We start from the raw sequence: 27,369 nt of genomic DNA on the forward strand, positions 1-27,369 counted from the left end.
CAGACTGGTCTCGAACTCCCAAACTCAGGTGATCCGCCCACCTCAGCCTCCCAAAGTGCTGGGATTACAGGCATGAGCCACCACGCCTGGCCCCCCTTTAATTCTTACAGCAATTTTGTGAAGGAGAAACTAACAGGGTGCCCATTTTAGAGATGGGAACACAGACACAGAGCTGGTGTTAAGTCTGATGGCCTAGGCCTTTAGGCTATTGGATGGAGGTATTGCAATTCAGCCCCCAGGCAGTGGGCTGCAGGGCTTAGTTGCTCTCCTTTCCCATGATTTGCAAGTAAAGGCTGGCTTCTCTGAGCAGGCGGTGTTTGAGTTGAGACCTGCAGGCTCTGAATGAGAAACCATGTAAAGAGCTGGGGAGAGAGCATTCCCAAGCAGAGGAAACAGCAAATGCAAAGAACCAGGAGTAGAAGAGAGCTCAATGTCATTAAAGTAAAGCGACAATGTGGCTGGAGTTAGAAACGTGGTACAATAAGAGGTTGCGGTGTTAGGCAGAGGATAGGATCAGTGGACACCTGTGGGCCACATTTTGTTTGCATTTTATTTTAAAAGCAACTGGAAGTAAAAAAAAATAATGTTTTAAATTAAATGTTTCATTTTAAGAGATAAATGTAAATTCCCATGCGGTTGTCAGAAATAATACAGAGAGAATGGGTGTTCTCTTTACCCAGTTTCCCCCCAGTGGCTGCATCTTGTAAATCCATAGTGATATCACAAAGAAGATATTATCATTGATAGAGTCAAGATTCAGAACATTTCCATCACCACAAGGACTCCCCATCTTATCCTTTGATAGCCACTTTCACTTTCCAGTCACCTTCTTCCCTTCCTCCATCCTTAACTTCTGTTAACCACACATCTGTAATAGACTTTTATAATTTTGTCATTTCAAGAATGTTATATAAATTGAATTGTATAGTATAACCTTTTGGGATTTACTTTTTTCACTAAGTAATTCACTGGAGAGTCCATTGTCCACTTTGTTGTATATGTCAGTAGTTCATTCCTTTTTATTGATGAGTAATATTCCATGGTGGGATGGACCACAGTTTAACCATTCACCTGTCGAAGGACAACTGGGTTATTTCCAATTTAGGGCTATTACAAACAAAGCTTCTATAAACATGCATGTATAGGTTTTGCATGCATTATTTCTCTGGAATAAATGCACAGGAGTACAATTGATGGGTCATAAGGTAGTTGCATGTTTAGTTTTTCAAGAAACTGCCAAACTGTTTTCCAGAGTGGCTATGCCATTTTACATTCCCACCAGCAATGTATGAGTGATTCCATTTCTCTGCATCCTCACCAAAATGTGGTGTTGCTACTATTTTTGATTTTACCCATTCTGACCCATATGTGGTAATATCTCGTTATAGTTTTAATTTACATTTCCCAATGGCTAATGATGGTGAACATCTTTTCATGTGCTTATTAGCCATCTGTTTATGTTCTTCAGAGAAATGTCTCTTCATTTCTTTTGCCCATGTTCTAATTGGATTGTTCAATTTTTTATTCTTGAGTTTTGAAAGTATTTTGTAAATGCTACATTCTAATCCTTTGTCAGATATGTGGTTTACGAATACGACCCCCTACTCTGTAGCTCATCTTTTCAACTCTTCACAGGGTTTTTTGCAAAGCAAAACTTTTTAGTCTTGATAAAATACAGTTTATCAATTTTTCCTTTCATGAATTGTACATTTGGTGTCAAGTCTAAGACTCTTAGTCCAGCTCAAGGTCCTAAAGATTTTCTCCCATTTTAAAAAACGTGATAAGTTTATGTTTTACATTTAAGTCTGTGATTAATTTTGAGTTAATGTTTATATAATGGGTGAGGTTTATGGTGAGGCTTCATTTTTTTGTTTGTGAATGTCCAACTGCTTCAGCATCATTTCTTGGAAAACTTATCGTTCCTCTGATGAACTGTTTTGCACCTTTGTCAAAAATCAGTTGGGCATATTTGTATGAGTCTATTGCTGGGTTTTCTGTTGTGTTCTATTGATCTATATGTCTATCCCTTCACCAGTACCTCATAGTCTTGATTACGTAATAGGTCAAAACTGGGTAGATTGTTTCCTCTTCCTTAACTTTTTTGAAATATTTTAGCTATACTACTTCCTTATTTTATATAAATTGTATAACAATCTTGACTATATCCACAAAAAAATCCTATTGGAATTTTAGTAGAAATTGTGTTAAACCTGTATATCAATTTGGGGAGCATTGACATCTGTAATATGTTGAGTCTTCCAATCCATGAACACTGTATATCTCTTCATTTTTTTAAATTTCTTTCATCAGTGTTTTGTAGTTTTCATCATACCAGTACTATTCATGTTTTTATAGATTTACATCTAAGTATTTCGTTTTTGTTCTTGAATAATTATAAATAATGTTAGTATTTTTATTTCAGTCTTCAGGGTTTCATTGATAATATATGAAATACAATCAATTTTTGGATGTTTATCTTGTATTTTGCTGAACTTACTCATTAGCCCTAAGAATTTTTTTTTTTTTTTTGGTGAATTCTTGGGGATTTTCTAAGTGGGTTATTATGTCATCTTCAAATAGGGATAGTTTTATTTGTTTCTTTCCAAACTGTATGTCTTTTATTTTTTTTTCTTGCCTTATTGTACCAGTTAGGACATCCAGCACTATGCTGAATAAGACTAGTAAGAGTAAACAGTCTTGCTTAAGTCCTGATAAAACGGAGAAAACATTCAGTCTTTCACTATTGAATTTAACATTGGCTATAGATTTTTTTGTAGGTGCTCTTTACAATGTTGACAAAGTTCTCCCTATTCCATTTTCTGAGAGTTTTTTTATCATGAATTATTGAATTTTGTCAAATGTTTTTTCTACCATGATTGATATGATCATGAAATTTTACTTCTTTAGCCTGATAATATGGTGGCTTCCATTGGCTTATTATCAAATATTAAATCAACTTTGTTTCCTGTAATAAGCCTCACATTGTCATGGTATATAATTTATTTTATACGTTGCTGAATTCTATTTGCTAATAGTTTATTAAGGATTCTTGTGTCTATACTCATAAGGAATATTGGTCTGTAATTTTCCTTTTTTGTGCTGTTTTTGTCGAGTTTTGATATCAGGGCAATACTAGCTTTTAAAAAAATGAATAGAGAAGTTTTTCTTTCTTTCTATTTTCTGAAAGAGATTGTGTAGAACTGGTTGTTAACTCTTCTTTAAACATATGGTAGAATTCTCTGATGAAACCATCTGGGCCTGAAGATGTTCTGGGGAATTTTTAAATTACAAATTTGATTTCCTTAGTAGTTATAAAACTATTCAATCTACTTCATGTTGGGTAAGTTGTGGTCGTTTTTGGTTTTCCAGGAATTGGTTTATTTTGTCTACATTTTCAGGTATATGTGTGTAGAGTTACTCATAGTATTCCTTTATTATTCTTTTGACATGTTCAGGGTCAATAAAGATAGCCTGTTTCCTGCCTAATGTTGGTAATTTGTGTCTTTTCTTTTTGTCTTTGTCAGTTTTGCAAGATGTTTCTCAATTTTATTGATCTTTTCAAAGAGCCAGTTCTCTGTTTCACTGATTTTTTACTATTTTCTGTTTTCAATTTTATTGATTTGTATTCTAATCTTCTCATTTTATTCCTTCTGCTTGTTTTTGGCTTATTTTGCAATTTTTTTTAGGTTCTTGAGATAGGAGCTTAGATTATGGATTTAAGAGTTTTCCTTTTTTTAATGTACACATTTAGTGTTACAAATTTCCCTCTCATTGCTGCATTAGCTGTGTCCCACAAATTTTGATACATTGTAATTTGACTTACATTTAGTTAGTTTTCTTTATTTCCCTTGAGACTTCCTGTTTGACCCATAGATTATTTAGAAGTGTATTGTTAATTTCTATGTGTTTAGAGATTTTCCTCCTGTAAGTGTATTGTTAATTTCTATGTGTTTAGAGATTTTCCTCCTATCTTTTTTATAGATTTCTATTTTTATTTCAATGTAGTTGAAAAACACACTGTATCCTTTTCGTTCTTTTAAATTCATTAAGGTTTGTTTTACGGCCCAAGATACAGTCTATTTCACATATATTCTATGGACACTGCTATTATTGGGTGAAGCGTTCCATAAATGTTGATTCCATCCTGGTGCTCAGCAGTGTTGAGTTTTCCATGTCCTTGCTGATTTCTGTCTGGGTATTCTGCTAATGGTTGAGAAAGGAGTATCAAAGTTTTCAACCATGACTGTGGGTTTGTCTGTTCCTCCTTTCAGTCCTATCAATTTTTGCTTCACATATTTTGCAGTTTTTGCTTCACATATTTTGCAGCTCCACCTATTGAAGGAAATAGTGTCAAAGTATTATGGGCAAGTTTTTTTTTTTTTAACTTTTATTTTAGGCTTGTGGGTGGACATGTGTTAAAACCACATGATATAAAGCAAATCCCTTCACTTATACCAAAGGACATCACTCTAACAAGTGTCCCCTTTCTCCTACATCATCCATTTTTACATCTCTACTTGATCATTCTCATCATTTAACAAACTTGTCATTTTCCCAGCTTTTAAAAGAAACTCCCCCAGATACACTCAAATATTTTTCTCGCCTTTGCAGTAAAACTCTTCAAAGGAACTGCCATTAGTGTCTTCCCACTCTCTCTTAAACCCATTCCAATCAGGCTTTCATTACAATTGGTGAAAACTCTTCTTGTCAGGTCACCAATGACCCAATGCTGCTAAACCCAATGATCAATTCTGAGTCCTCATATTATTCGATAATCAGTAGCAGTGATCACTCTCTCTTCCTTAAAACACTTTCTTCATTTGGCTTCTAGGTCACCTCAGTCTCTTGGTTTTCCTCCTATTTCAGTGGTTGCTTCTTTTCAGTCTCCTCCACTGGGTTCTCTTCTCTGCAACTTATTAATGTTATAATGCATCAGTTCTGGGACACTGGTTCTTTGTTTATCTCAAACTACACTCACTGTCTTAGTAATTTCATACAATCTCATGGCTTTAAATGTCATATAGGCCATGACTCACAACTTTATACCTGCAGTGCAGTCCTGTTAGCTGAACTCTTGACTCACATATTCAACTGCTTATTCAACATCATCTCTCCTCAAATGTTTGGTAGATGTCTAAAAATCAACATGCCTAAAACTGAGATGTCTATGTCATACCACAAATTTGCTATGCACTTAGCCTTCCTCGCCTCAGCAGTGGCAACTCCATCTTTCCAATTGTGCAAACTAAAATCTGGAAGTTATGTTTGACTTGTCTCTATGTCTTATAGCACACATCTAATCCATCAGTAAATCCTTTTGATTCTTCTTTTCAAAACGTATCTGGAATACAACCTCTTTTTACTATCTCCATGATCACCTAGGCCTTTCATGTCTTTTCTCAGATGTCACCTTCTCATTGAAGCCTATCCTGACCACATTGTTTAAAATTGCATCCCTCACTTCTGCCCAACTTTACACTGCTTTATTTTTCTTTTTCCCCACATATAGCACATAACATCTTCTAACATACTATGTAATTTGTTTATTTATCATATTGATTCTCTCCACAAAGGCAAGGGTCTTTGTTTTGCTCACTGGAGGGGTCCCAATTTTGTTTGCTTCACTGCTGTGACTATAAGGTACATCTATAGAGGCATTCATAGCACATAGTATTTGCTCAGTAAATATTTGGTTCTGAACAAACCTTGCTTATGTTTTTTTAAAAAATACGCCTATGGCTGCTGTGTGGATATAGATTGATGGGAGTGGAGGGAAAATATATATCCCTTAGAAATGTTTTCACCTGCTAGTAATAGACAAAAATCAGACCACTTTGGATGAAACAAGAGTTATTTTTCCCTTAGAATATGATGTGAGAGATGTAACTTTTGGACTTAGTATATCAGGGCTAATGTCTCTGTGACTATAGTCCCTTTTTTCTCATTCTCACAACTGGTTACAGCAGCTCCAGCCATCAAATTTACATTCTAGATGAGGAGATGGAGGAAGGTAAATAGGGAGTTTCCAAGAGTCAGGGATATTTTGCATTAGCTTATACAAAGGTGGAGATGAAGAAATGCAAAGAGATTTTGCAATATATGTTTGTTATAAACTGGGGGAATAGTAATGAGAAAGGTGACTCCTAGGTTATTTATATGAGTGATTGGGTAAATGGTGGAGTCATTTATTTAAGTAGTTCAAATGCAAGGAGAAAGAGATATGAAGAGAAAAACTCAAGATCTCCAAACTGGACATACTAAATCAGAGATGCTCACTCATTATCCAAATGTAAATTTCAAGTATGCAGTTGGATATACAAGTCTGATGGTAATGGGAGAGGTTTGAGCTGGAGAGACACACTGGAGAGTCATGAGCACATGGGTGGTATTTAAAGCCATTGTACCAGGTAAGATCACCAGCAAATGTAGATAGTATTCAAAATTGAGTCACAGTTAAAGGGGAGGAGGAGAAAAAGCTAAAAGACTGAGAAGAAGAAAGGGGAAAATCAGGAAAATGTCGTGTCACTGAAATCAGAGTTTAAGAACAGAATTACTTAGCCTTCTGGAATCCCAGTTTTCTCCTCTGTGAAATGAGGTGAGAATAGCTATCTCTTAGGGTGTTTATGAAGACAAAATGCTATCATGTGTGTAAATGTCGGGATAGTGGCTCACCATGATAGGCACGCAATCAATGTCTGCTCCCCTCCCTTTGGGAGTAGCCTCCTAGGCTATGTTCCCAGACCCACGGAGGAAAAAACACTTTCCAGATAACCTTTTTACATTCCAGCAGGCTACGTTGATTCAATATGGTAAATAGCCATTTGTCTGGAAAACTATTTATGCAGGATGACTAGAACAAATATTGATTTTGTTTTATCCTGATATCCATATAACTCAAGGACAAGGGAAATTCAGTACACGAATTTTAGAAACAGTAAATGTGTTGCTCATATTTTCAAGTCTGTATTAGTAATGAATAAATTAACACTTGTTTGATGAATAAACAAATGAATGAATCAAGTGAAAGGGAATGAGGTAATGTCTATTCTAGGGCAGCATTAAGCTGTTTGTAAGTGTATGTGTTAATTATCTTAAGGTGGTTGGCTTAGTTGGTTCCAAAATGGTGTTATCAAGTTAATATTGCAGGACTACTCCTTGCTCCAATACCACATATTGAACTATTGACTACCCAACAATGGACCAGTGACAAGCCCATTGCTACTGTAGGAAACAGTAAAAACTCAACGCAAAGAAGATAAACTCTACCTTAGGTCAAGAATTTAGAAGATGTCCTCTACTTTCTAGGGAGTGAATGTAGAATTTGCATCCTCTTTATATATTAAGGCCAGATTTAGCTTCTGGGGACCACTTCATGCAGTTTCTGCAAGTATATTTGTGGATATGTCTACATGTCTGTGCAGGCAAGGTAAATTCACGTCTTCGGACAAAGGAGTACCAGCCTACACTGATCCCGGAAAGATTTACTCACTTACAGTCAAGTGAATGAAAATTAGAGTGGAAAAATCAAGGGATGTAATTTGAAGTGAGAACAGCATTGGAGTTTGTTTTATTTATACTGATAATGAGTTCTTGGAGCCAAACATTTTTTTTCTCCTCGGTTGGTGGCTCTCTGTTGCTTTTTGCTCTTTTTTTTTTTTTTTTTTTTTTTTTAGCTTGCTTTGAAGCCACCCTGAACAAATCCATAGCAATAATCAAATGGAGGATTTAAATATGACCCACATGGAACTGTTCTGACAGTTGGGGTACCTGAGAACTGTTCAGCAAAACTTAATTTACCAACTTCCTTTTCCCTCACTAGTGAGGGACGTATGTACAGACTTGAGGGGACATGATTGAATAATGGTTACCGGATCTAATTTAAACTTGTTTTTAAATAGCAATAAAATGTATACTGGGTTGAAGAATCTATCTCACAGCTGCCTACAGCCGTTTTTTAAAATCACTCTTTTATGCAGCATCCCTGGAAAGTCATCCATTAACCCAAGAGAGGGAGCATGGACTCCCACAAAGGAAGCATTTTGTTGCCCACTGAACACATATTGAAAGCACTTTTCTGTAGTTTGAAAATCTTCAATCTGCTGCACCCTTTAAATCTTGGCTGGCGAAGACAGGACCTAACAGATCACATTCCCAGAGTTTTGCTGGCAGTACTGATAAAATGAAGAAGCCAGTAAAATAAAGGCCACATTGCTAGTGTGTGAAGTTCAAGGAAGCCTGGTCAAAAATCTAATGTTTGTTAAATGGAAAGGGAAACAGCCTATCCTCCAGCACCTGCTAAAAATGTAATGATTTTCCTGGCATGCTTTAAGGGAAGGGCAAATCATAGTTCTGAGTTCAATATCATGTGGCCCCTTGAGAAAGGAAACTGAAAGCAGCAAAGAAAAACTCTAATCAGGAGCAAGATATTTGCTGCTGGTTTTCCCTCACAACCCATGCCAACCAGTGGAACAACAGCTAAAATTAACGGTTTTTTTCCTGAGTGCCTTTGGGAGGCACTGTGAGCCCAGGTGAGTCTAAGCTAAGCACTGGCCAGGTGCAGAGAAAAGAGACTGGCAGGAGCTAGGGTCCGTAACGTCAGGCAGCCCACGTCGGAGCTTAGATTAGGAGAGAGTAGGTGACGGGCCTGTGGACCAGGGATAGCTTTGGAAGGGGGTGGGGAGGGGACTGTGGTTATAATAATACAATAAGAGCTAATTCTGATTAGGTACTAGCTGTATACCAGGCACTGTACCAGGTATATTACACAGATTATCTTTTTATTTCATAGAAGTTAGTTACTATTATTACTCCTGGGTTCACGGATGAAGAAACAGGCTCCGGTAGATTAAGGGTGTTGCCCAGGGTTCCCCCTGCAGTGAGTAGGGGAGCCAGGGCTTACAACCAAAAGCTATGACTCCAGGATTTAGCCTTTTAACACACGGTGCTAGATCAGGCCTCAGGGACTCAGTGGCTGAGTCTCTGTGTTGGGGCATGACTGTGACATCCTCTTCTGTTTTCTTCCTTCTGCTGCTCTTCTGCAGACCTGGCCATCACCCAGGCTCAAACACAGATAATGGGAGAACAGAGACAAGTGAGACAGCCAAGGAGAGGAGGTAGGCAGTGCAGGGCCCAGGGATAGGAAGAACTAGGCCACTGGGAACTCGACAGCTGATGGGAAGGACCAAAACACAGCTCATGTTGGCGCTTCAGAAATCCGCTGGCGTTAACTTCCAGAGAACTTCTTGACAGTTGTCCCCAATTACTTCATCAAGGAGTCAAAACAATAAAACCGGGATAGGATAATGGCCAAATAGTGGATTAAAACCCACACTACGAAGTAGTGTGTCCAAGAGTTTCATTTTCATTGGTATTTTTGGCCATAGTAAGGAAATAGTTTAGTATGTTGCAAATTGTTTACTACTGCCTTCAGATCTTCAAAGAGCTTCAGTGAGGGAGGGAGCTGATTGGTTCTATGCGGCTTCCAGAGAAGCATTAATTCCTATTAGTTCTATTCGGAAGGACTGTCTATCAGTGTGCAACCAACCCCACAAAGCAGGACTTCACCACAGAGCACAGCCGAGCAGAAGCGAGGTCACTGGTCAGGACTTGGCTGCTCATTATAATCCCCTGGGAAGTTTTAAGAAAGTCTGATGCCTTGGTCTCACCCCCAGAAATTCTTACTTAGATGATCTGAGGTGGAGCCCTGGCGTTAAGATCTTTAAAACCTCCCCTACGTGATTCCAATATTCAGCAAAGTTTGAGAACCACAGAGTTAGATATCTCATCAGGGAGGCTGCAGCACAAATTGAGTAGGAGGTTGGTCCAGGTTATTTCTAAAGTCCCTTTCAGTTCTAAGATCCTAAACTGCTAACCAAGTACATTCACTGTGAGTTTGCTGTTTATGATGGCTATGGATAATTTTATGATTAATTATTAGTGACAGTGGACTACAATTTTTTACATGTAGAAAAGTGACACGCTGTAAGCAACAAAAGACCACATCCACTATTTTGGATTTCTGTCTCTTTGAAATTATGTTTAAGGAAAAGAAGCTAAGAAAACGTACGATAAATTTAGAATGCTATTAATCCGAAACCACCCTTCCTCCCTGGCTCTGTATCCTGGCACACTGGAACATGGAGAGTTTCTGGAGATTAATAATAACAGTGCACATGGATCTACTTGCATCTTAGATATCCAATCTCATTGTTTCAAGGGAAAAATGATATTGGACTTAGACAAATTTTCCAGAGGGAAAAAAGACTGTGCAGTATGACTGCCAGTTGGAAAGCACAGGCACAGAGCAGACCTATTTCAGCCTCCACTTTATATCCCTGCCATCTTGCATCGTTTTTCTCACTCCTAGATCTAAGTATTGTATTTGGCAGAAACTGTCAGAATCCCTTCAAACCGCAGTCTGAACTTCATACAAGGGCCTGAACTAATTCCACACAGGGACTTAGAATCACAGTTGCCAGTGGACTATTTAAAGACAGAAGTGCAGGACTTGTATCAACATAACTGCTTCCAGTAGATGCGGCAGGGTTCAAGGAGTCCTGCCTAGTGGAAACAAGTTCTTGGTCTGATTTTAACCTGCCATGATCCCTGCAGCGTGACTTTGGACCAACTATGTCCCCCTCAGTGCTTCAGTAACCTTAGAAGTTAAGCAAACACAGAAATGCTGACTCACTTCAGAGGGGGGCATTGTGAAGCCCAGAAAGAGGCCCTGCATTAGTAACACAAAAGGAAGCTAAACTGTGTTTTCATGATCCCAGACTAGAGTCTCCAGAACTTTTAACTTGATATAGCTTTATGGTTCCCACTGTGGGGCGGGCTGTGACTGACAGTGGAGCTAAAGTAGTTATTCAGCACTTGTCCACAGGAATATCCTAAAGCTTGATGTTCTGAATATTACCACCTCTAAAAAATATATTGTGGAAAACTGCACTGTTGCTCTGTCAGTTAAGAGTTTAATACGTTATATTGATGACAAATCAATTTCAAGCTGTCCATGTTGAACTTGTCAAGCAGCTTTGGCAAAACAGAATGGGTTGGCAAACAAATAACTTCCTGGAGTGTGGGGGCAGAATGATTTAGAAACCTCGGAATTCAGGGAGGTGAAGGATGCTGGGAAAAGAGCAACAGAATCTGGGGTCTGAAATGTCCACTCATCTAGGGAAGGAAATTTCTATGACTATTGAAATCAGCTACTTGGGCAGGTAAATGATTGGCAAGAACAGAAGGCAGTTAATGAACCATCCAACAGCTTTGGAAGGCAGCAAATGATGGAGAAACCAGAGGGAGGCTGAGACAGAGAGGAAGGCAAGCAATAGCCCGCCTTATCAAAGAAGAATCTTCCCAAATCCTACTGCAAGGAAGGGAAAGGAAATCAATACCACAGTAGGAGATGATGGCACATGAAACCAATTGGCTGAAGATTATGCCCAAAGAGAAACTGAACTTTACGAGTATATTTTTCTAAGGGACATTTTGGCACCTGACTCATAATCTCTACCTACTCTAACTCTCCTGCTGTCCCAAGCAAGGAAGCAGTTTGTGGAATACCCATCTCTCACTCTTGCTTGAAAGTTTCTTAATCTACTCTGCTCCATTCACCTTCATCTAGGCCCCACTTGAGCAATCCACTCTTCTGGCCACACTGGGATCTTGTTTATGACCCCAAACCAACTCCATCATTGAGACCTTGAACTCTGATCGGCCATACCCCAATCTTATCCCCTTAAGTGGTTAACACCCTGTCTCTATTTGCTCTCATTGCACTTGCCTGTGGAGCCCATGAGACCTCATAAGATCAGTCTTCTTTTTTTTTTTTTTTGAGACAGAGTCTTGCTCTGCCACCAGGCTGGAGTACAGTGGCGCGATCTCGGCTCACTGCAACCTCCACCTCCCAGGTTCATGCTATTTTCCTGCCTTAGCCTCCCGAGTAGCTGGGACTACAGGCACCCGCCACCACGCCCAGCTAATTTTTTGTATTTTTAGTAAAGACAGGGTTTCACCATGCTGGCCAGGATGGTCTCGATCTCTTGACCTCGTGATCCACCCACCTCAGCCTCCCAAAGTGCTGGGATTACAGGCATGAACCACCGTGCCTGGCCTTTTTTTTTTTCGAGGCAGAATCTCACTCTGCTACCCAGGCTAGAGAGCAGTGGTGTGATCTCAGCTCACTGCAACTTCCGCCTCCTGGGTTCAGGTGATCCTCCCGCCTCAGCCTCCCGAGTAGCTGGGACTACAGGCACACACCACGCCCGGCTAATTTTTGTATTTTTTGTACAGACAGGGTTTCACCATGTTGCCCAGGCTGGCCTTGAACTCCTGGACTCAAGAGATCTGCCCGTCTTGGCCTCCCAAAGTGCTGGGATTACAGGTGTGAACCACTGAGCCCAGCGGTTCATCTCTGTCTCATGTATCCTGAACCCATCCATCACTCCCAGGCCAATCAGTTCTCTGGTGGGGGGGTTCCACTGCCTCTCCTACATACCCAGAATCATACCATGATGGCTTGTCTATTTAACCATTCCCTCTCAGTAACCCTAACTCTCACTACACCCACCACCTCAAGAGACCCTTCCCCAAATTCGCCCTTCTAATCTCCTGCATCCATGCTGCCGAACACTGCTTGGAAAAAAATAATACAAACATCTAATTACAGTCCCCACAGTTTGTGGTTTCCAGCTTCTGCTGAGCTTGCAGTGCTGCTTAGCAAATCTTGCCTTGCTCTGGTCACCTCTCAGCAGCCAACCCACATCCCCAGTGCTCCCGGGAAGCTGCCCTATTCCACCCTCAACCCAACCTATCTATTCTCCACCTTGCCTCCCATCCCACAGAAAAGATGAAGTCAAGACATGTTAAATCTTTCTCTTCTCAGCCTCACCATCAAACTTATCTAGAGCTGCATCCAGGCCTGCCTATTTCCCCCTGCTCTGGAAGAAGGAACCTCGCTGGGCGTTTGAAATCATTGCCTCCTTCCCTCTCTGTGCCCCCTAGCCTGGTCCCTCCCTTTACCCTGGCTTCTCTCCCTCAACTTCACACTTGCTCAAGACTCTCTACTCCTCCAAAACAAACAAAAAGGACAACCGTGTCTCCCTTCTATTCTGCAACTCCCTCTAACCATCCCACCTCTCCTCTTTCCTTTCCAGCTAACCTTCTTTAAAATTACTTCCATATTCATTGCTGGCAGCTCCTTACCTCCCATTTGTTCTTTGACCCACAGAAATCTGACTTCTGTCCTTTCCACCAGAACTGCTCTTGCTCTCACCAATGAGCAACTTCCAGATCCCAGGGATAGTGTTGAGTTTTTATCTCGCTGAACTTATTTCAGTTTCTTGAAGCCACTTTCTCCCTGGACTCTCTTCAGTTCTTCTTCTGCCTCCCAAACTGCTCTTGTCCCTTAAACTTCGCTGCTTGCCAGGATTCTCTCCTCTTCACTGCTCCCCAGCTCCTGCCCTTGCCTCTGCTGGCACCTGCTTTTGGTCCTTCCTCCGTAAAACCACCACTATGGACTTTCTTTTCCAAAATGCAAATCTGATCATGTCGCCACTCTACCTAGTGCCTCCCCAGCACCCACTGAATGGAGACCCTTCTCCTCGTTGCTGAACACAGGGTTTTTCTCAACCTGGCTGCCAGCAATGTGTCCAGCCTCATCTCTTTTTCCTGCTGAAAAGCATTCTGTGCTACAGCCATTCAGAAAAACTTGCACAAGCCCTGTTAAGCATGGACAACCTATGATAAATACTAATGAAGTAATATTAAATAAAGGGACATTCTAATAGGAATTACTTACAGAGGGTTCAATTAATGTCTCCTCATCTTAATATTATTTAATATTTAAATGATTTTTTTCCTCCGGAAAGGTTTTTTCATACTTCTTTGTCTTTGCACAGCTGTTTCCTCTGTTTAGAATGGTCCTTCCCACTTAGTAAATTACTCAACCTTCAAAATCCAGCCTAAATGAATATCCCAATCTCTACAAAGCCACCCTTTGCTTGCCTCTTTCTGGCCTTGCTCTTCTGGTCCAGGAGAATAGCGGCTTCCTTTTTTATCCACAGCATCTTGTGTCCCCTCGACTGTGGCCCTTGTCCAACTGCACTGCAGTGTTTTCCTCAAGTGCCTGTTTCCCTCACTGGTCTGTGAGCTCCCTGAAGGCAGGTATCATGTCTTAATCATCTTCAAATCCCCAAACCAGCCCATCCCTGTCACATAGCAGGCTCGATGAATGATGAATTTTATTAGGTTAGACCATTTGAAATTGCCATTTTTATAGGTCACAAATAATCAAATACCAGCAATTTCATATGATTTGACCTATTACTGTAAGTATTTTTGATGTCTTACTCTATGAAGCTCAAAGTACCTTATAAGCATTGTGTAATTAATCCTAGGGAAATTCCTGCAGGATACCATGAGAAATCATGATAATCACTTTAAGGGTGGTTCAGTAGGTCAGTGACAGGAGTGGAGCTGGAACTAGACATTCTTCTGGTCATATCCCTCATCTTAGGGTCCGCAGTACTAGACTCATGGAATTCTAGAGTGAGAAATAAATTCAAAGGGTCACCTGCCTGGCAGCTCCAGGCAGTGGGACACATAAATCATCTTTAAATGGTTCTCTGTCTTTCCTGTCATTTGTGCAAAGTTGAAGATTATATGATCTCTTGCAATAATAATTTAACATTTCCCTCTCACACCCTCACCAGGCAGTCCATTTCTAACCCATCTTTCTCTTGCTGCAATATATCAATTTCTGACTTTATAGAGATAAAAGCAGCTGCAATGTACCCAGCTTATAATAACCCTCCTACTACTTATTACAGCCACTTGTCCTCCCCTCAGTTTCATTTTACTCCTGAAAAAAGTCCCTTCTCTTCTAAACTCTATTCATAGGATCTTCGCATCATTTTAATCAAAAGATTTCAGGATCTTCTAAAACAATATTTCCCAGTTTCATTAGACCATGTTAAAAATGGAATATCCATTAACATCCTCCTGACCTAATGTTTGGTGGAGTAAAATTTGGGAAACAGGGCTCTGTGATGTTCACACATTCCTTTTTAAATGTTAAGATTAAAAATTAGATGTGATTTCCTAGTAAAGGTGTCACTTGTATCACCTACAGTACAAAGATGATTTCCCAGCCTTTGCAAAGTCATAATTCTGTTTACATACTTATTATTGCAATAGTCTTTTAAACTGCAGGCTCATAATGTCACCTCATACTTAGAACATACTTGTGCTTTTATAGTCTTGAATAATAATTGAGCTTTCATTTCCTGTCTTGCATAATGACTAAGTTTGGATTTTATTTATTGCATATGCTATCTTGATTGGGTTCTATCATCTATTTCTTTCTCTAAATTGTTCTCATCATTTAAAAATTCCATCCATCTGAAGTCTTAGCAACCACCCCTGTCTTGTCACCTGCACTCCCCCAACCCTCAGAATTGAAATGTTTGTACCTTTTTGTCTTTGCACAGCTGTTTCCTCTGTCTAAAGTGGTCCTTTTCGCCGTGCAAATTGTATTAGGTTGCTTTCAAATATACCACCTTTGAAGTTTTTTATTTTATTTAAATATATTAGATAGCTTGGGAGGGAAGTTTCCTGATAAATTTCAGCAGGCATTTAATCGTACTTGCTACCTGTTTAACCCTGTGCTAGGTACTGTGACAGCTTTCAAAGCTCACGGTTATCTCATCTTGGTGAAGTGGTAGTTCATACTTATAAGTAGTTCACTAACATTGGAAGGTATTATACAATCAAACACCTAGAGGAATAATAAAAAAGCAAGTGTCATGCAGATCTAAGAAGAAACCTATCAAGTTTAGACTTGATCTATGATGTGAAAGATTAGGAGGATTTAGGCATTCAAAAAGAATGAAGAGGTGATGAGATGAAGTGCAGAAGTAACAGCAGGTGCAAATATGATCTATCTCTATTGTCCATATGGATGGGTAAACAATTAGCACATAGGTCAGTTACAGCCCCTATTACTCTATACTAGTACTAGCTGTATGTAAGTCTGCCATCCTCACTGCTTTGTGACTGCAATGATGGCAGAGACCATAATGTCCTTATCTACCTAGTGATTTTAAGTGTGCCTGGCCTATAGTACATGCTCAGTAAACATATGTTTAAATTTTTAAAGGAAAATTGGTTTGAATGAAAAAGCAAGTTAATATGCGGAACAGTGAGTGAATTCAGATTATTGAGGCCTCTGAAAGGCACCTGGGCAATTCCAGCTTCCTTGGATGGGAGCCGCTGGAGTCCTGCATGGGAGTGACAAGATAATGGGATATTTGGGGAATTTATCTGGCCATAGTGTTCAGAATGAATTAAAAGAGGAGAAAGGGAGAAATGAAGGAATAAAGGCATTGTCTAATCCTCCACCTATCTCTCTATCTCTCACCCTCCCATCTCATGCTTCTAGAAAGATCTTTGGCATTTTGTTATCTTCATATCCCATTCACTCCTCAGCTCCTTCAAACTTCTCTTCTGTTCCCACTTCACAGCATTTAACTACTCAATCTCTCTGCAGTATTTAACATCATTAACATTTATCCTTTAAAAATAGCTCTTTTTTATTACATAATTATTGTAACAAATTTAAACAATACTTAAAATGCAAAGAAGCAAGTAAAACGTACCCAAATCTCCTCTTCCAAAGATAATCACCGTTAACACTTTGGTGAACATTCTTCCAAACATCTTTCTAGTCTATGCATACATGCACAAGCAGATGGCTCTGTGCATAGAGATTTACATAAATTGCATCATATAATACTCATTTCTTGCAGTGACTTGCATTGCTTTTCCTAAACAATAAATATAAATGCCAATAAGCATAAGCATAAGCCTGTGTAACTTTTGATAGGGGCATTGTCCTCTAATGAGTCCATAGCATTATTTATATTACAAGTTCTCCAGAGGATGAATGTTAAAAGTTTGTTTCCAGTTTTTACTATTCTAAACAATATTTCAGTAAACACTTTTATGCATTTATCCTTTTGCCATCTGTATTGTATTATTATTATTATTATTTTTGAGACAGAGTCTTGCTCTGTGGCCCAAGCTAGAATGCAATGGCACGATCTTGGCTCACTGAGACCTCTAACTCCCGGGTTCAAGTGATTCTCCTGCCTCAGCCTCCTGAGTAGCTGGGATTACAGGCGTGCACCACCATGCCTGGCTAATTTTTGAATTTTTAGTAAAGGCAGGGTTTCACCATGTTGGCTAGGCTGGTCTCGAACTCCTGACCTTGTGATCCACCCGCCTCAACCTCCCAAAGTGCTGGGATTACAGGCATGAGCCACTGCGCTCGGCTGTATTGTATTATTTTTAATAAACCCACTTCTTCTTTAAATTCTATTATACATTACACATTCTTATAACCTGTCTCTGTTTTGTCCATTGGCTCTAATTTTTCCTGGTCCTCCCACCTCTCTGAGGTTTCTTCACAGATTTCTTCATGGGTTCTTTCCCTGGCCCTGGCTTACCCTTTAAATATTCGTATATAATTGATTATCCTTTGCACATTCTTGCCCTTGTTCTATGTCCTTTTTCCAACCAATCTCATTTATTCTCATAGTTTAACAACCGCATCTAGATGGATAACTACAATTTGCATTTCAAGAAAGATGTCAGGATCTTCATTGCTGACAGCTTTCCTGAAATTCAGATAGGTATCTGCTAGCTGCTGCACCCAGATATCCCAGGCAAATCAGTGTATTTGGTAGATTTACTCTTCTCTCAAACCTACTCCAATTCCTGTGCACTCAGCCATTTAGATGTCTCATACAAAAGCTTGGGGTTCATTTCTTATTCCTTCTTCTCTCATTGCTCTATGTCCAATCAATCATCAAGTTTGTGAATTCTCTGTCCTAAAAATATTATGAAATGCCTTAAGATTTTCTCAGGAAGCTACTGGAAGATGTGCTATACCAAAACAAGGGGGTAAACCAAAGAAAGGAAGACATGGTAACCCGGATACAGGGACACCCAAGACAGAAAGCAGAAGAAAGAAATACCCAAGATAATGGGGAAGAAAGTTCCAAGGCAACAGGTGTTCAGCCAGCCCAGGCAGGAACCTGTCTAAGTGGAGCAGGATGATAGAGGACTCTTGGAGGGATGTTGTCAAAAAGAAAGGGAAACTGCTAGAAGGTGTAAGGTGTTTGAATGTACCAGGAGATGTTATTACAGTTTGGTAAAATTTTGGGGGTTAATTAAGTGGCTGCTTTACAGAAAAAAAATACATATATATACATGGCTCAACTCTGACTAATAATTCCATAATCATAATTATGATACTGTCAACATGGAATATTGACTTAATTGAAAACATGGATATAACTATACTGGAATGATGGAATTTTTAAAAAGTGTTTTGTGTATGTGGGGGTAGGGGGGAGAAAAGGTATCTAAGGGAGGCTAATTCCCATCTTCTATTTTAGGATATGACCTTTTGTACGTTTCATTTTCTAAAAATGAAAAATAAAGAAACGGGACTTAAAGAAAATAATCAAAAGAGTAGGCAGGCGTTGCATCAAAGAAGAGGGTAACAGGGGTGAGAAGAAATGGGAGGGGCAACTCCTGTTTCTCATTGTAAGCCCAGTAGTACTATTTTATTTGCCTTCTTAAAGTATATACAGTTGGCCCTCCATATCAGCACGTTCCACATTCGTGAATTCAACCAACTGCAGACCGCAAATATTTGGGAAAAAGATTATACTGAACATACACAGATTTTTCCTTTTCATTGTTTTCTAAACAATATAGCATAACAAGTATTTACATAGCATTTCCATTATATTGGGTATCATAAGTAATCTAGAGATGATTTAAAATATATGGGGGGATGTGCATAGGTTATATGCAAATACTATGCCATTTATATCAGGGATTTGAGCATCTGTAAATTTTCATATTTAAGTGAGTTCCTGGAACCACTTCTCCACAGATACCTAGGGACAACTGTATATACATTACTTTGATTTAAAAAAATAAAAAGAAAGAAAAGTTGAGGCTGGGCACAGTGGCTCACACCTGTAATCCCAGCACTTTGGGAGGCCAGGGCGGGTGGATCACTTGAGGTCAGGAATTCGAGACCAGCCTGACCAACATGGTGAAACCCCATCTCTCCTAAAAATACAAATATTAGCCAGGCGTAGTGGCACGCACCTGTAATCCCAGCTACTTAGGAGGCTGAGGCAGGAGAATCCCTTGAATCTGGGAGGTGGAGGTTGCAGTGAGCTGAGATCACACCATTGCACTCCAGCCTGGGCCACAAGAACAAAATTCCATCTCAAAAAAGAGAAAAGAAAAGAAAAGTTGAGAATATCCAGCAATAGACAAATAGACAAAAAATATGTCCTTCAAATAATGGAATATAGGTCACTGTTGAAAAAACAAGGTAGATATATGGAAAAAAAAATAAAATTGTCCAAAACATATTAAAAAATTAAAAAAAACACAAAGTTCCAAAAGGTAATAATGTTACTTTCAGAATGAATCAAATTAGAATAGTAACAAAACCATTAATGATTTATGCAGTGAAATTTCACGTTTCATGTTACATAGTTTAGTAATGTTTGAATTTTGTATAAAGAAAAGGTTTTTTTTTCTGGTTACAAAATTATAATAAACAGATATTTCTCATATGTACCATGTCCCCTTCATTCCTAATACTTCTGCCTTTTTTAAAGCCCTTACTTAAGTGGCTTATTGACAGCCCCAGAATAAAGTCCAAGCGCATTAGGATGGTATTTAAGACTTTCCAGGAAGGGCTCCTTACTGTCGTGTCTGGTCTGGGCCTTGGCCACTTTCTACCTCACCCTCAGGAGCTTCTTGCACATTTACTGCGTGTCACTCTTGTGCTCTCCCTACCCTGCCCAGGTGACCCATTTCTGCACCATGGTCCCTCCACAGACTCCTCCCTCCACCCTCAGCCTCCACCAGAGTCTAAGTATCAGCTGGAGGAAGTCTAGGCATCCTCTGCTTCAGGAAGCCTCCCCTTCCCCCTGAGCTGGGTTGGAGTCCCACCTCCAAACTCCCCAGAGCAGTTTGTGAATGACCTATCATAGGACTTACTACATTGTTCAGATGTGATTATTGTTTGCACTAGCCTCCTATCACTAAACTATTAACTCCAAAAGCATGGAGGCTGTGATTTACTCACTGCTACATCATCAGAGCCTAGCATAGAGTCTAGCACTAATGAACATTCAATATACGCTTAAGTTAATTGAATGATTCAGGCACAAGTTGATGAGAATTTGTTCTATACCCACTAGGGCTAAACATTACTATCAACCTCTACTTTAAGGGACATGACACTTTGAAAAATGTCAGTGCACTGGCCATCTCTAATCTAGGATATGGAAGAATGGAAAAAGAGCAGGTACCACTGTCTTCCTGCCCACCTTCGTGTGAATGTAGCAGCAATCACGCACAAAATGGCGGAGAGTGTGTGAGCAGACCACTTGTGACAGCAAGAGACAATGCTCCCTGCTCATTGCCTGTCACTTTCCTGAGTCTGAGACCCTCTCCTCATGTAATCTTTGCCACACAGGCATGCTTCAGAAGGCTGACTTTACCTGTCTGTCGAGCTGATCTGAATCAACTCCATGGCATTCAGATTCAGCACTGATAGACTTAACATGCGGTAGAGCCAACATCCTTGCTGAAGTCCAAGCAGATTCCATCTGTAATCATAGTTCTTCAAACCCCACAAGTTTGTGGATTCATGTGGGGTTTCATTAATAGTAATGATCCCAGTTTTACTAGGCAAAATCTGAGTTCCTCTTATGATCTGCCCCCACCAACCTCATCTCATACAGGTCTCTCCCTTTCTCACTCTTCTGCATCCGTATCAGCCTCTCTCCTTGTTTCACATCGATTGCTAGAACCACATCTTAGAGCTTAGCAATGCCAAAGGTATAAATATCAAACATCCTACATTTGAGAATATTTCTCATGTTGTAGCTTCTTGATAGAAATTGAATGTAGTCAATCAGTAAAATAAATAAGCACTAGGTTTAAAGTAAACCATTAATAAAAATGAATACCTGTAAGTCACTCCAAAATAATGTGGATAGAAGTTAGACTTTAAAAAATAGACCCTGCTTTGTTGATTTGATTTTTGGACTATGTAAATATTTTAGGTAATTACAAAACAAATTTTAAAAACCCAATTCCCATAAATAAAAGTAAACCACACAGAGAGGAAATTTTCCAAGTAGTTTTAAACACAGTAACTTTAATTGTATACATCCTTAGCGAAATATACCCTACTGACAAAAATAATTGCAAAAATAAAATATGAAACTGTTTCCAGTATTCTTATTATTGGTGCTAGTGTTAGTATTCCTATTCTGAAACTGTTATATGTGTATTGTGGAGTGTTTTTTTTTTAAGAGTAATTATACTAGTATAATTGAGAACAAAAATTTTTTTTTCTGGTAAAGGAAATACAGATATAAGATTCATGAGGTGGCTCACACCTGTAATCCCAGCACTTTGGGAGGCCGAGGCAGGCAGATCACTTGAGGTCAGGAGTTCGAGACCAGCCTGGCTAACATAGTGAAACCGCTTCTCTACTAAAAATACAAAATTTAGCCAGGTGTAGTGGTGGGCGCCTGTAATCCCAGCTAATCGGGAGGCTGAGGCAGGAGAATCACTTGAACCTGGGAGGTGGAGGTGGCAGTGAGCCGGGATTGCACCACTGCACTCTAGCCTGAGTGACAGAGTGAGACTCCATCTCAAAAAAAAAAAAAAAAAAAAAAAAAAAAATATTCATGAGGTTAAGTGAAAACACTATAGCTCTACATTGAATTGCAAGTACCAATACAAATTCATGATATATTTTGTCTTTAAAATGAAAAACACGTTTCCTAGCCCTGTCACACTAAAAAGACCTAGAAACTACAGTAATCCAGTGGCAATGAGCTCCCTGAGTAATCAGACTGTGATCTTTAAATGCCATCTCCCAATAAGGGAATCAAGGTTCTTTGCAGATATGACTGTAACCAAGCCTGGGATTGAAAAGTACAGGATGAGTCTAAAGTATTTTGTCAGAACAGATAGCTCAGAATCTATCAATGGCTATCAGGGTCATGTCAAAGCAGCCAACCTCAATAAAAAAATAAGTGCAATGAATTCAAATACATCACATACATTTTAAATCACTGAGTTCATATTATACTGAAAGAAGAAAAATCTTATTGTTCACTTTTGGAGGATGCTCAGGAGCCAATTCATTCCTTTGAAAACTGGTAGGTAAATGAAAATAATTAAGCATTGATCCTACTTTTCTATAAGAACTATACCTCAGGAAAATTAAATAATTGAGAAGGCATTATTGTTATGGAACTATTTTAGCTAATAATGAAGAAGAAGAAATGTTAGAATTAGAATATTCCCATTTTGCAACATCTAATGAATTGATCTAGTTTATAATTATCATAAAAAAGAAGCAACCAGATATTATATATCATCCTATGGAAAAACACAACATAAGTTAGTCCTGCCAAAAAAACAAAAAAAAAAAAAGAATCTAAATCTGATCAAGTATCTAAATTTAACTACCAATTGATAAGAATTTAGGGAGCAGAAGTCAATGTTAAATAAACCACAGAGAAACAATAAGCAAAATCCAAAGTTTGGGAAACTCTACAAAAAATTATTTTACATCTTATTTAAGGAAATTTCCAGGAAAAGGAAAAGGAGTTAGAGGAGAAACCTATAGATTAAAGAAGACCCAAGAGACATATAAACTAATCTGTACACTTATAATAACAACGCATGGATTTTATTTAGATTCCAATCCAAACAAATTAACTATTTAAAAATTCTTAAGACAATTGGGATACTCTGCAACTATGTAGGTATTGATAATGAGGAACTATTGTTAAATTTTTAAATGTGGAAATAGTATTATCCTTTCTCTTTTAAAATTATTATCCTTTATCTCTTTTAGAGATACATTGTAAAATATTAGCAGATGAAATTATATGATGTGTAGAGCTTGCTTCAAAATAACCCAGAGTAGACATTATGGTTAGGGATGTAGGTGCAATATGACCATAAGCTCCAAGTTGATAATTGTTGAAGCTGAGTGACAGGTATTCTGAAGTTCATTATTCTATTCTCTCTACTTTTTCACACATTTGAAATTTTCCATGACGAAAGCTTTTTTAAAAATAGATAAGTATGTGTCATCAAAAAGAATGAGTCTGGTCTGGAAAAGAGATTTTACACCCATGTTCAGAACAGCGTTTTCTTCACAACAGCCAAAGAACGGAAGCAACCCAAATGTCCATCAACAGATGAATAGGTAAACAAAATATGATATATCCATACAGTGAAATATTAGTCTTAAAAGGAAGCAAGTTCTGCCACATGCCTAAACATGGATGAAGCCACAGGACGTTATGCTAAGTGAAATAAGCCAGACACGGAAGGACAAATATTGTATGATTCCACTCATATGAGGTATCTAAAAGAGTCAAACTTATAGAAACAGAAAGTAGAATGTTGGTTGTCAGAAACCAGGAGGAGGAGTGGGCTGGGAGTTGTTGTTTAATGGGTGTAGGATTTTGGTTTTGCAAGATAAAAACAGTTCTGGAGATTGGTTGCACAGCAGTGTGAATGTACTTAATACTACTGAACTGTACACTTAAAAGTGGTTAGAATGCTAAATATTATGTTATGTGTATTTTACGATTTAAAATCTCTAATTTTTTAAGTACGTCTGGATCAGCAAGATTCTGGGAGAACAGGCATGATCAAAGGAAGACATTATACAAATAAGACAGTCTTGGTATAAAACAGAGAAATAAACTTAGATGGAGTTGGATGTTAAAGGAGAGGATAAACATTGGAAACCCATGGAAATGCAGTTAAGGGGGGAAAAAGGATGATAAGGAGCTACTGGTCTTCAGAAGAGCGGGATCCTATAAACGCCTGTGCTGATGTGTATGAATACCAGAGTACATGAGCCATTCATATCCCAGGCTCCACATTGCCTCCCTATATTGATAGTGTAATGCCTGGACAGAGCTCATTCTCCTAAGGACCTTTGTAGGTTGATGTGAACTTGTGGTCACTGAGGCAGCATGATACCTTGATTCTTGTCCCAGTCTCTCACTCTCATTCCCAATTGTCCAGACTCCCCACAAATAGTAGACTAGGAAAGATAAGACGTTAAAAATTGCCTTTAAAGCTGATGGGTTAATTTTGACATCTTCACTTGGAGAGGTACATGAACTTTAAGACTGAAATTTACCCCAGAAACTGATAAATAAACCTTTATACATAAATATTTAAGTACTTTTTCAAAACATCAAGCATTCTGCTAAAATATAATAAAGTATTAAGGCCAAGAAAGGGGTACTTTATATAATTGGAAAAAGCAGACTATTATGAAACACCCATTAACATTTTTAAGACTAATGCATAGTAAATTTTTATACAATGTAATTAAACAGAAAAAATAATGCAGATTAAGCATTAGTACTAAAAAGGATGTCAGTACTTTTTGCAAAAACATTATGGTGTACTCTCTGTTCAGAACAAGTATTTAAAACTAATGAAAAAATAAGCATTCAAAAAGATTTGGTAGCAGAGAAAATTAAAAATGGATTCCGAATTATTTCTATTCTAGATCTTCTGTTCCAGCACCCTAATGAAGTTAAATAGTGCAACTAAAATTGTAATTCTAGTTAGATCACTGAATTTTTTTTTTAAGTATACCTATGCTGCCATAGTAGTTAATTGGGCTGAAAAAGACGGGGTTGACTAAGGAAAGTTAAGAAATGAACAGAATTATAAAAAATAATAGATACTGTCTTACATAGCCTTTTTCAGGCTATGTCTGCATATTCTTAATATGTTTTTAACGAAATATCTTTATTATCATTAGGTCATCTTTAGCCCAAATCTCTACATCTAAGGTGTTTTATTGTCAGTTCCAGGACTATGAGAGGCTACAGAATGGTAAAGACCATTCAAGGGGCTGGCTAGAGGTGGGGCAGGGGGCACAGGATGGGCCCAGGATAGGGACAGATTCTACTATCAAAGCAGAGTCAAGGGTATGAATATATTCTATCAATGCAAGTGAGAGCAGAGGATCAGGAACCACTTTCAGTGTCCCTCCTTTGTATTCCCCTGGCATCTTTAACAAACCTCAAACATTGCCCAAGTAGATGCTTTATCACAATTATTAATTTATTTCTCTATTGTCTCCCAAATGCTTCTTTAAAATTGCCCCCCCTTGACTTATTTGACTTTGTGATTCAAGCCCCGGATGGTGTCTGATATGAAGTAGGTATTTAATAATAGCTCTTGGGTATCTAGTTAAAAGATGGAATGAATAGTATGTAGTTATCTTCCAAGTCTATTGTCTTAGTCTTGATTTTTATCGTGAGCTCAAGATCCATATTTCCAGTTGGCTGTTGGACAGCCCTGCCTGCATGCCCCAAAGACATTTTAAACAGATCCAAAGTCACTCACCAACCTCTCTCCCCACCCCCAACACTTGGCAAACCTGTTCTTTCTCCCATTCTTCATATTCCTTTCCTCAACTAAGTCTTAAATATTTAAGCGAGGCAGAGAATTTTACAGCAGATAGCAAATGCTCATGAAAGAAATGTATTTTTCTAGCCTTCAATCTGAACACTTTTAATACTGAAGTGATGGAGACCTCAACAATAATCTCAAACATTGCTCAGTATGTGAGATGGGTATGTGTGGATTTGCTCCCTTGGCATTCCTTTCCATAGGGACCTGCCCTATCCAAGCCCTCTGAGGTTCTACAGAGGCTGCCAATTACAGGTCTTCACTCCTCTTGACCACACTGCCCAATCAGAGTCTCGCTTCATGGAACCAGCACACTGAGCAGAGACAGTAGGCAGTTGGAGCCAAGTCACTCAATAACCAAGTATTTCTTTAAAATTCCAAGAGCTGGTCTGAGTACTGCTCTTCTCAAGGTCGGGGGTATCCTTCCTCCTTAAATCTGTGAACCCTCAGGGATTCTTTCAGGCAACATTTTTTTCTTGTGTCAGAGTCTGTTTCTATAACCTAAAATCAGAGAACCCTGATACAAAGGAAAACATACTCAAATATGCACACTGATATTTTAAATTGTTTTCCAAATGGCTAAAGAAAAGATAGATGTGGAAGTTTTATAATGAAACCCAGGATTTGAGACTCTAAAAGGAAATAACAGGTCTCAGAAAGAGAGGGGGATTTGAGGGAGTAAAATCCTGCCTTCATTCTCATTCTTTCTCTCTCTCTCTCTCTTTCAGGCACACATGCACACACTCTAGATGAGAAAGAAAGGGGGAAATATCTATGGAAACCACTGTGGATATCCAAGAGTTTGGAAGTAGTCCTTATTTTTAAAAGACATGCAAAAACTAGAAGAAGGGGCTCAGAATCAAGGCTAAACAGAAAAGATCCTGTGTGAATAGAATTTCAGAGCTCAGATCAAGGTGAAGCTTGTGAAAAATGCTGATATTTGTAGTTGTACATGGAAGATGGGAACAAAAGAAAGTTAAAGGGGAAAAAAACTAATGTTTTTGAGCACTTACTGTATGTCAGGTATTTTACATAGATGACTCAATTGTGAAAAAAAGAAAAAAAGAAGGGTAAGGATACAGATGGTCAAGTCCTTTGTTTGAGGTCATTAATATAACCTTAATAGAGGGAATCTTCTTCCTGTAAACTAGAGAAATTGTAATGTTTTATCTGACACTTACAGGCTGAGTAGAATATAAATGGAGGCCACTTAATCGTATGTCTAAATATTTAGAAGTTATAAGTCGAGCTTGGCTCATGCCCAGCTCATGTTTCCACCCAAGGCCCCACAGCCATCCCAGAGAATCACCCTTGAAATGCAAAGGCTAAAAAAGCCATCCTCTTTCCTGGATGGGAGCACTGATATGCTGGGATAGGGGCAAGATGGAAACTGCTCCTGGGCCCAGGAGCCCAGGGCGGGCACTAGGATAGGGACAAGCCTGGTCATCTGGTCATTATCACCATAGAGAGCCCCAGGCTAATTCCCTTGGCTGCCTTGCTTTTCCAACAGAAGCAGTTCAAAAGGCTTCCCAAAATTACTCCTCAAAAAAGTGCAGTCAGCTGAGAAACCCAGCCTGCCCAGACACCTACTCTGGGGTATTTGGGGTGGTCAACATTAAACACAGCAGCCCAGCTCTTTGCCAGATTTCTAGACAGAGGCTATGATTTTCTTCTAACTACTACCCCGTCGTACTGAGATGGGGGCGTTTCCTTATCTCTCTCACAGGGCATGTGACAGGGGTGTGGCTAGCTTCCCACCTGGCTGCTCAAACCCTAGGGGGAGCA

The 27,369-nt window shown here is 38.9% G+C and overlaps 1 long non-coding RNA gene across 1 annotated transcript, besides 8 other annotated features; it reads right to left on the reverse strand.

Moving 5' to 3' along the window:
- Window positions 1-4,025: 4,025 nt before the first annotated feature.
- LOC124901601 (uncharacterized) lies at window positions 4,026-13,366 on the reverse strand. The gene is made up of 2 exons (XR_007060259.1): window positions 13,207-13,366; window positions 4,026-4,332 (listed from the first exon to the last, which is right to left on the reverse strand). It is a non-coding gene; the product is annotated as an uncharacterized LOC124901601 (long non-coding RNA).
- Window positions 9,938-10,602: an enhancer, noted in NCBI's record as "NANOG-H3K27ac hESC enhancer chr7:24516814-24517478 (GRCh37/hg19 assembly coordinates)". NCBI's record gives its function as "activates a minimal SCP1, AML or CMV promoter by ChIP-STARR-seq in primed H9 embryonic stem cells {active_cell/tissue: H9 hESC(primed)}" and the evidence as "EXISTENCE:reporter gene assay evidence [ECO:0000049][PMID:30033119]".
- Window positions 10,573-10,867: an enhancer, noted in NCBI's record as "tiled region #8696; HepG2 Activating DNase unmatched - State 5:Enh, and K562 Activating DNase unmatched - State 8:EnhW". NCBI's record gives its function as "activates a minimal TATA promoter and a strong SV40 promoter by Sharpr-MPRA in HepG2 cells, with weaker activation in K562 cells {active_cell/tissue: HepG2 | K562}" and the evidence as "EXISTENCE:reporter gene assay evidence [ECO:0000049][PMID:27701403]".
- Window positions 10,573-11,266: a biological region, named in NCBI's record as "NANOG-H3K27ac hESC enhancer GRCh37_chr7:24517479-24518142".
- Window positions 10,603-11,266: an enhancer, noted in NCBI's record as "NANOG-H3K27ac hESC enhancer chr7:24517479-24518142 (GRCh37/hg19 assembly coordinates)". NCBI's record gives its function as "activates a minimal SCP1, AML or CMV promoter by ChIP-STARR-seq in primed H9 embryonic stem cells {active_cell/tissue: H9 hESC(primed)}" and the evidence as "EXISTENCE:reporter gene assay evidence [ECO:0000049][PMID:30033119]".
- Window positions 10,613-10,757: an enhancer, noted in NCBI's record as "145 bp enhancer 39 fragment used in the MPRA reporter construct; PK_construct_3434". NCBI's record gives its function as "activates an SV40 promoter by MPRA in HepG2 cells {active_cell/tissue: HepG2}" and the evidence as "EXISTENCE:reporter gene assay evidence [ECO:0000049][PMID:23512712]".
- Window positions 10,680-10,690: a transcriptional cis regulatory region, noted in NCBI's record as "NFE2L2 motif; MPRA enhancer 39 activity is reduced when this motif is scrambled". NCBI's record gives its function as "necessary for full MPRA enhancer 39 activity {active_cell/tissue: HepG2}" and the evidence as "EXISTENCE:site-directed mutagenesis evidence [ECO:0005528][PMID:23512712]".
- Window positions 11,267-11,930: an enhancer, noted in NCBI's record as "H3K27ac hESC enhancer chr7:24518143-24518806 (GRCh37/hg19 assembly coordinates)". NCBI's record gives its function as "activates a minimal SCP1, AML or CMV promoter by ChIP-STARR-seq in primed H9 embryonic stem cells {active_cell/tissue: H9 hESC(primed)}" and the evidence as "EXISTENCE:reporter gene assay evidence [ECO:0000049][PMID:30033119]".
- Window positions 11,931-12,593: an enhancer, noted in NCBI's record as "H3K27ac hESC enhancer chr7:24518807-24519469 (GRCh37/hg19 assembly coordinates)". NCBI's record gives its function as "activates a minimal SCP1, AML or CMV promoter by ChIP-STARR-seq in primed H9 embryonic stem cells {active_cell/tissue: H9 hESC(primed)}" and the evidence as "EXISTENCE:reporter gene assay evidence [ECO:0000049][PMID:30033119]".
- Window positions 13,367-27,369: the final 14,003 nt, after the last annotated feature.

The sequence above is a fragment of the Homo sapiens genome, chromosome 7 (assembly GCF_000001405.40).
Source record: "Homo sapiens chromosome 7, GRCh38.p14 Primary Assembly".
In the NCBI taxonomy this organism is placed as follows: Eukaryota; Metazoa; Chordata; class Mammalia; order Primates; family Hominidae; genus Homo; species Homo sapiens.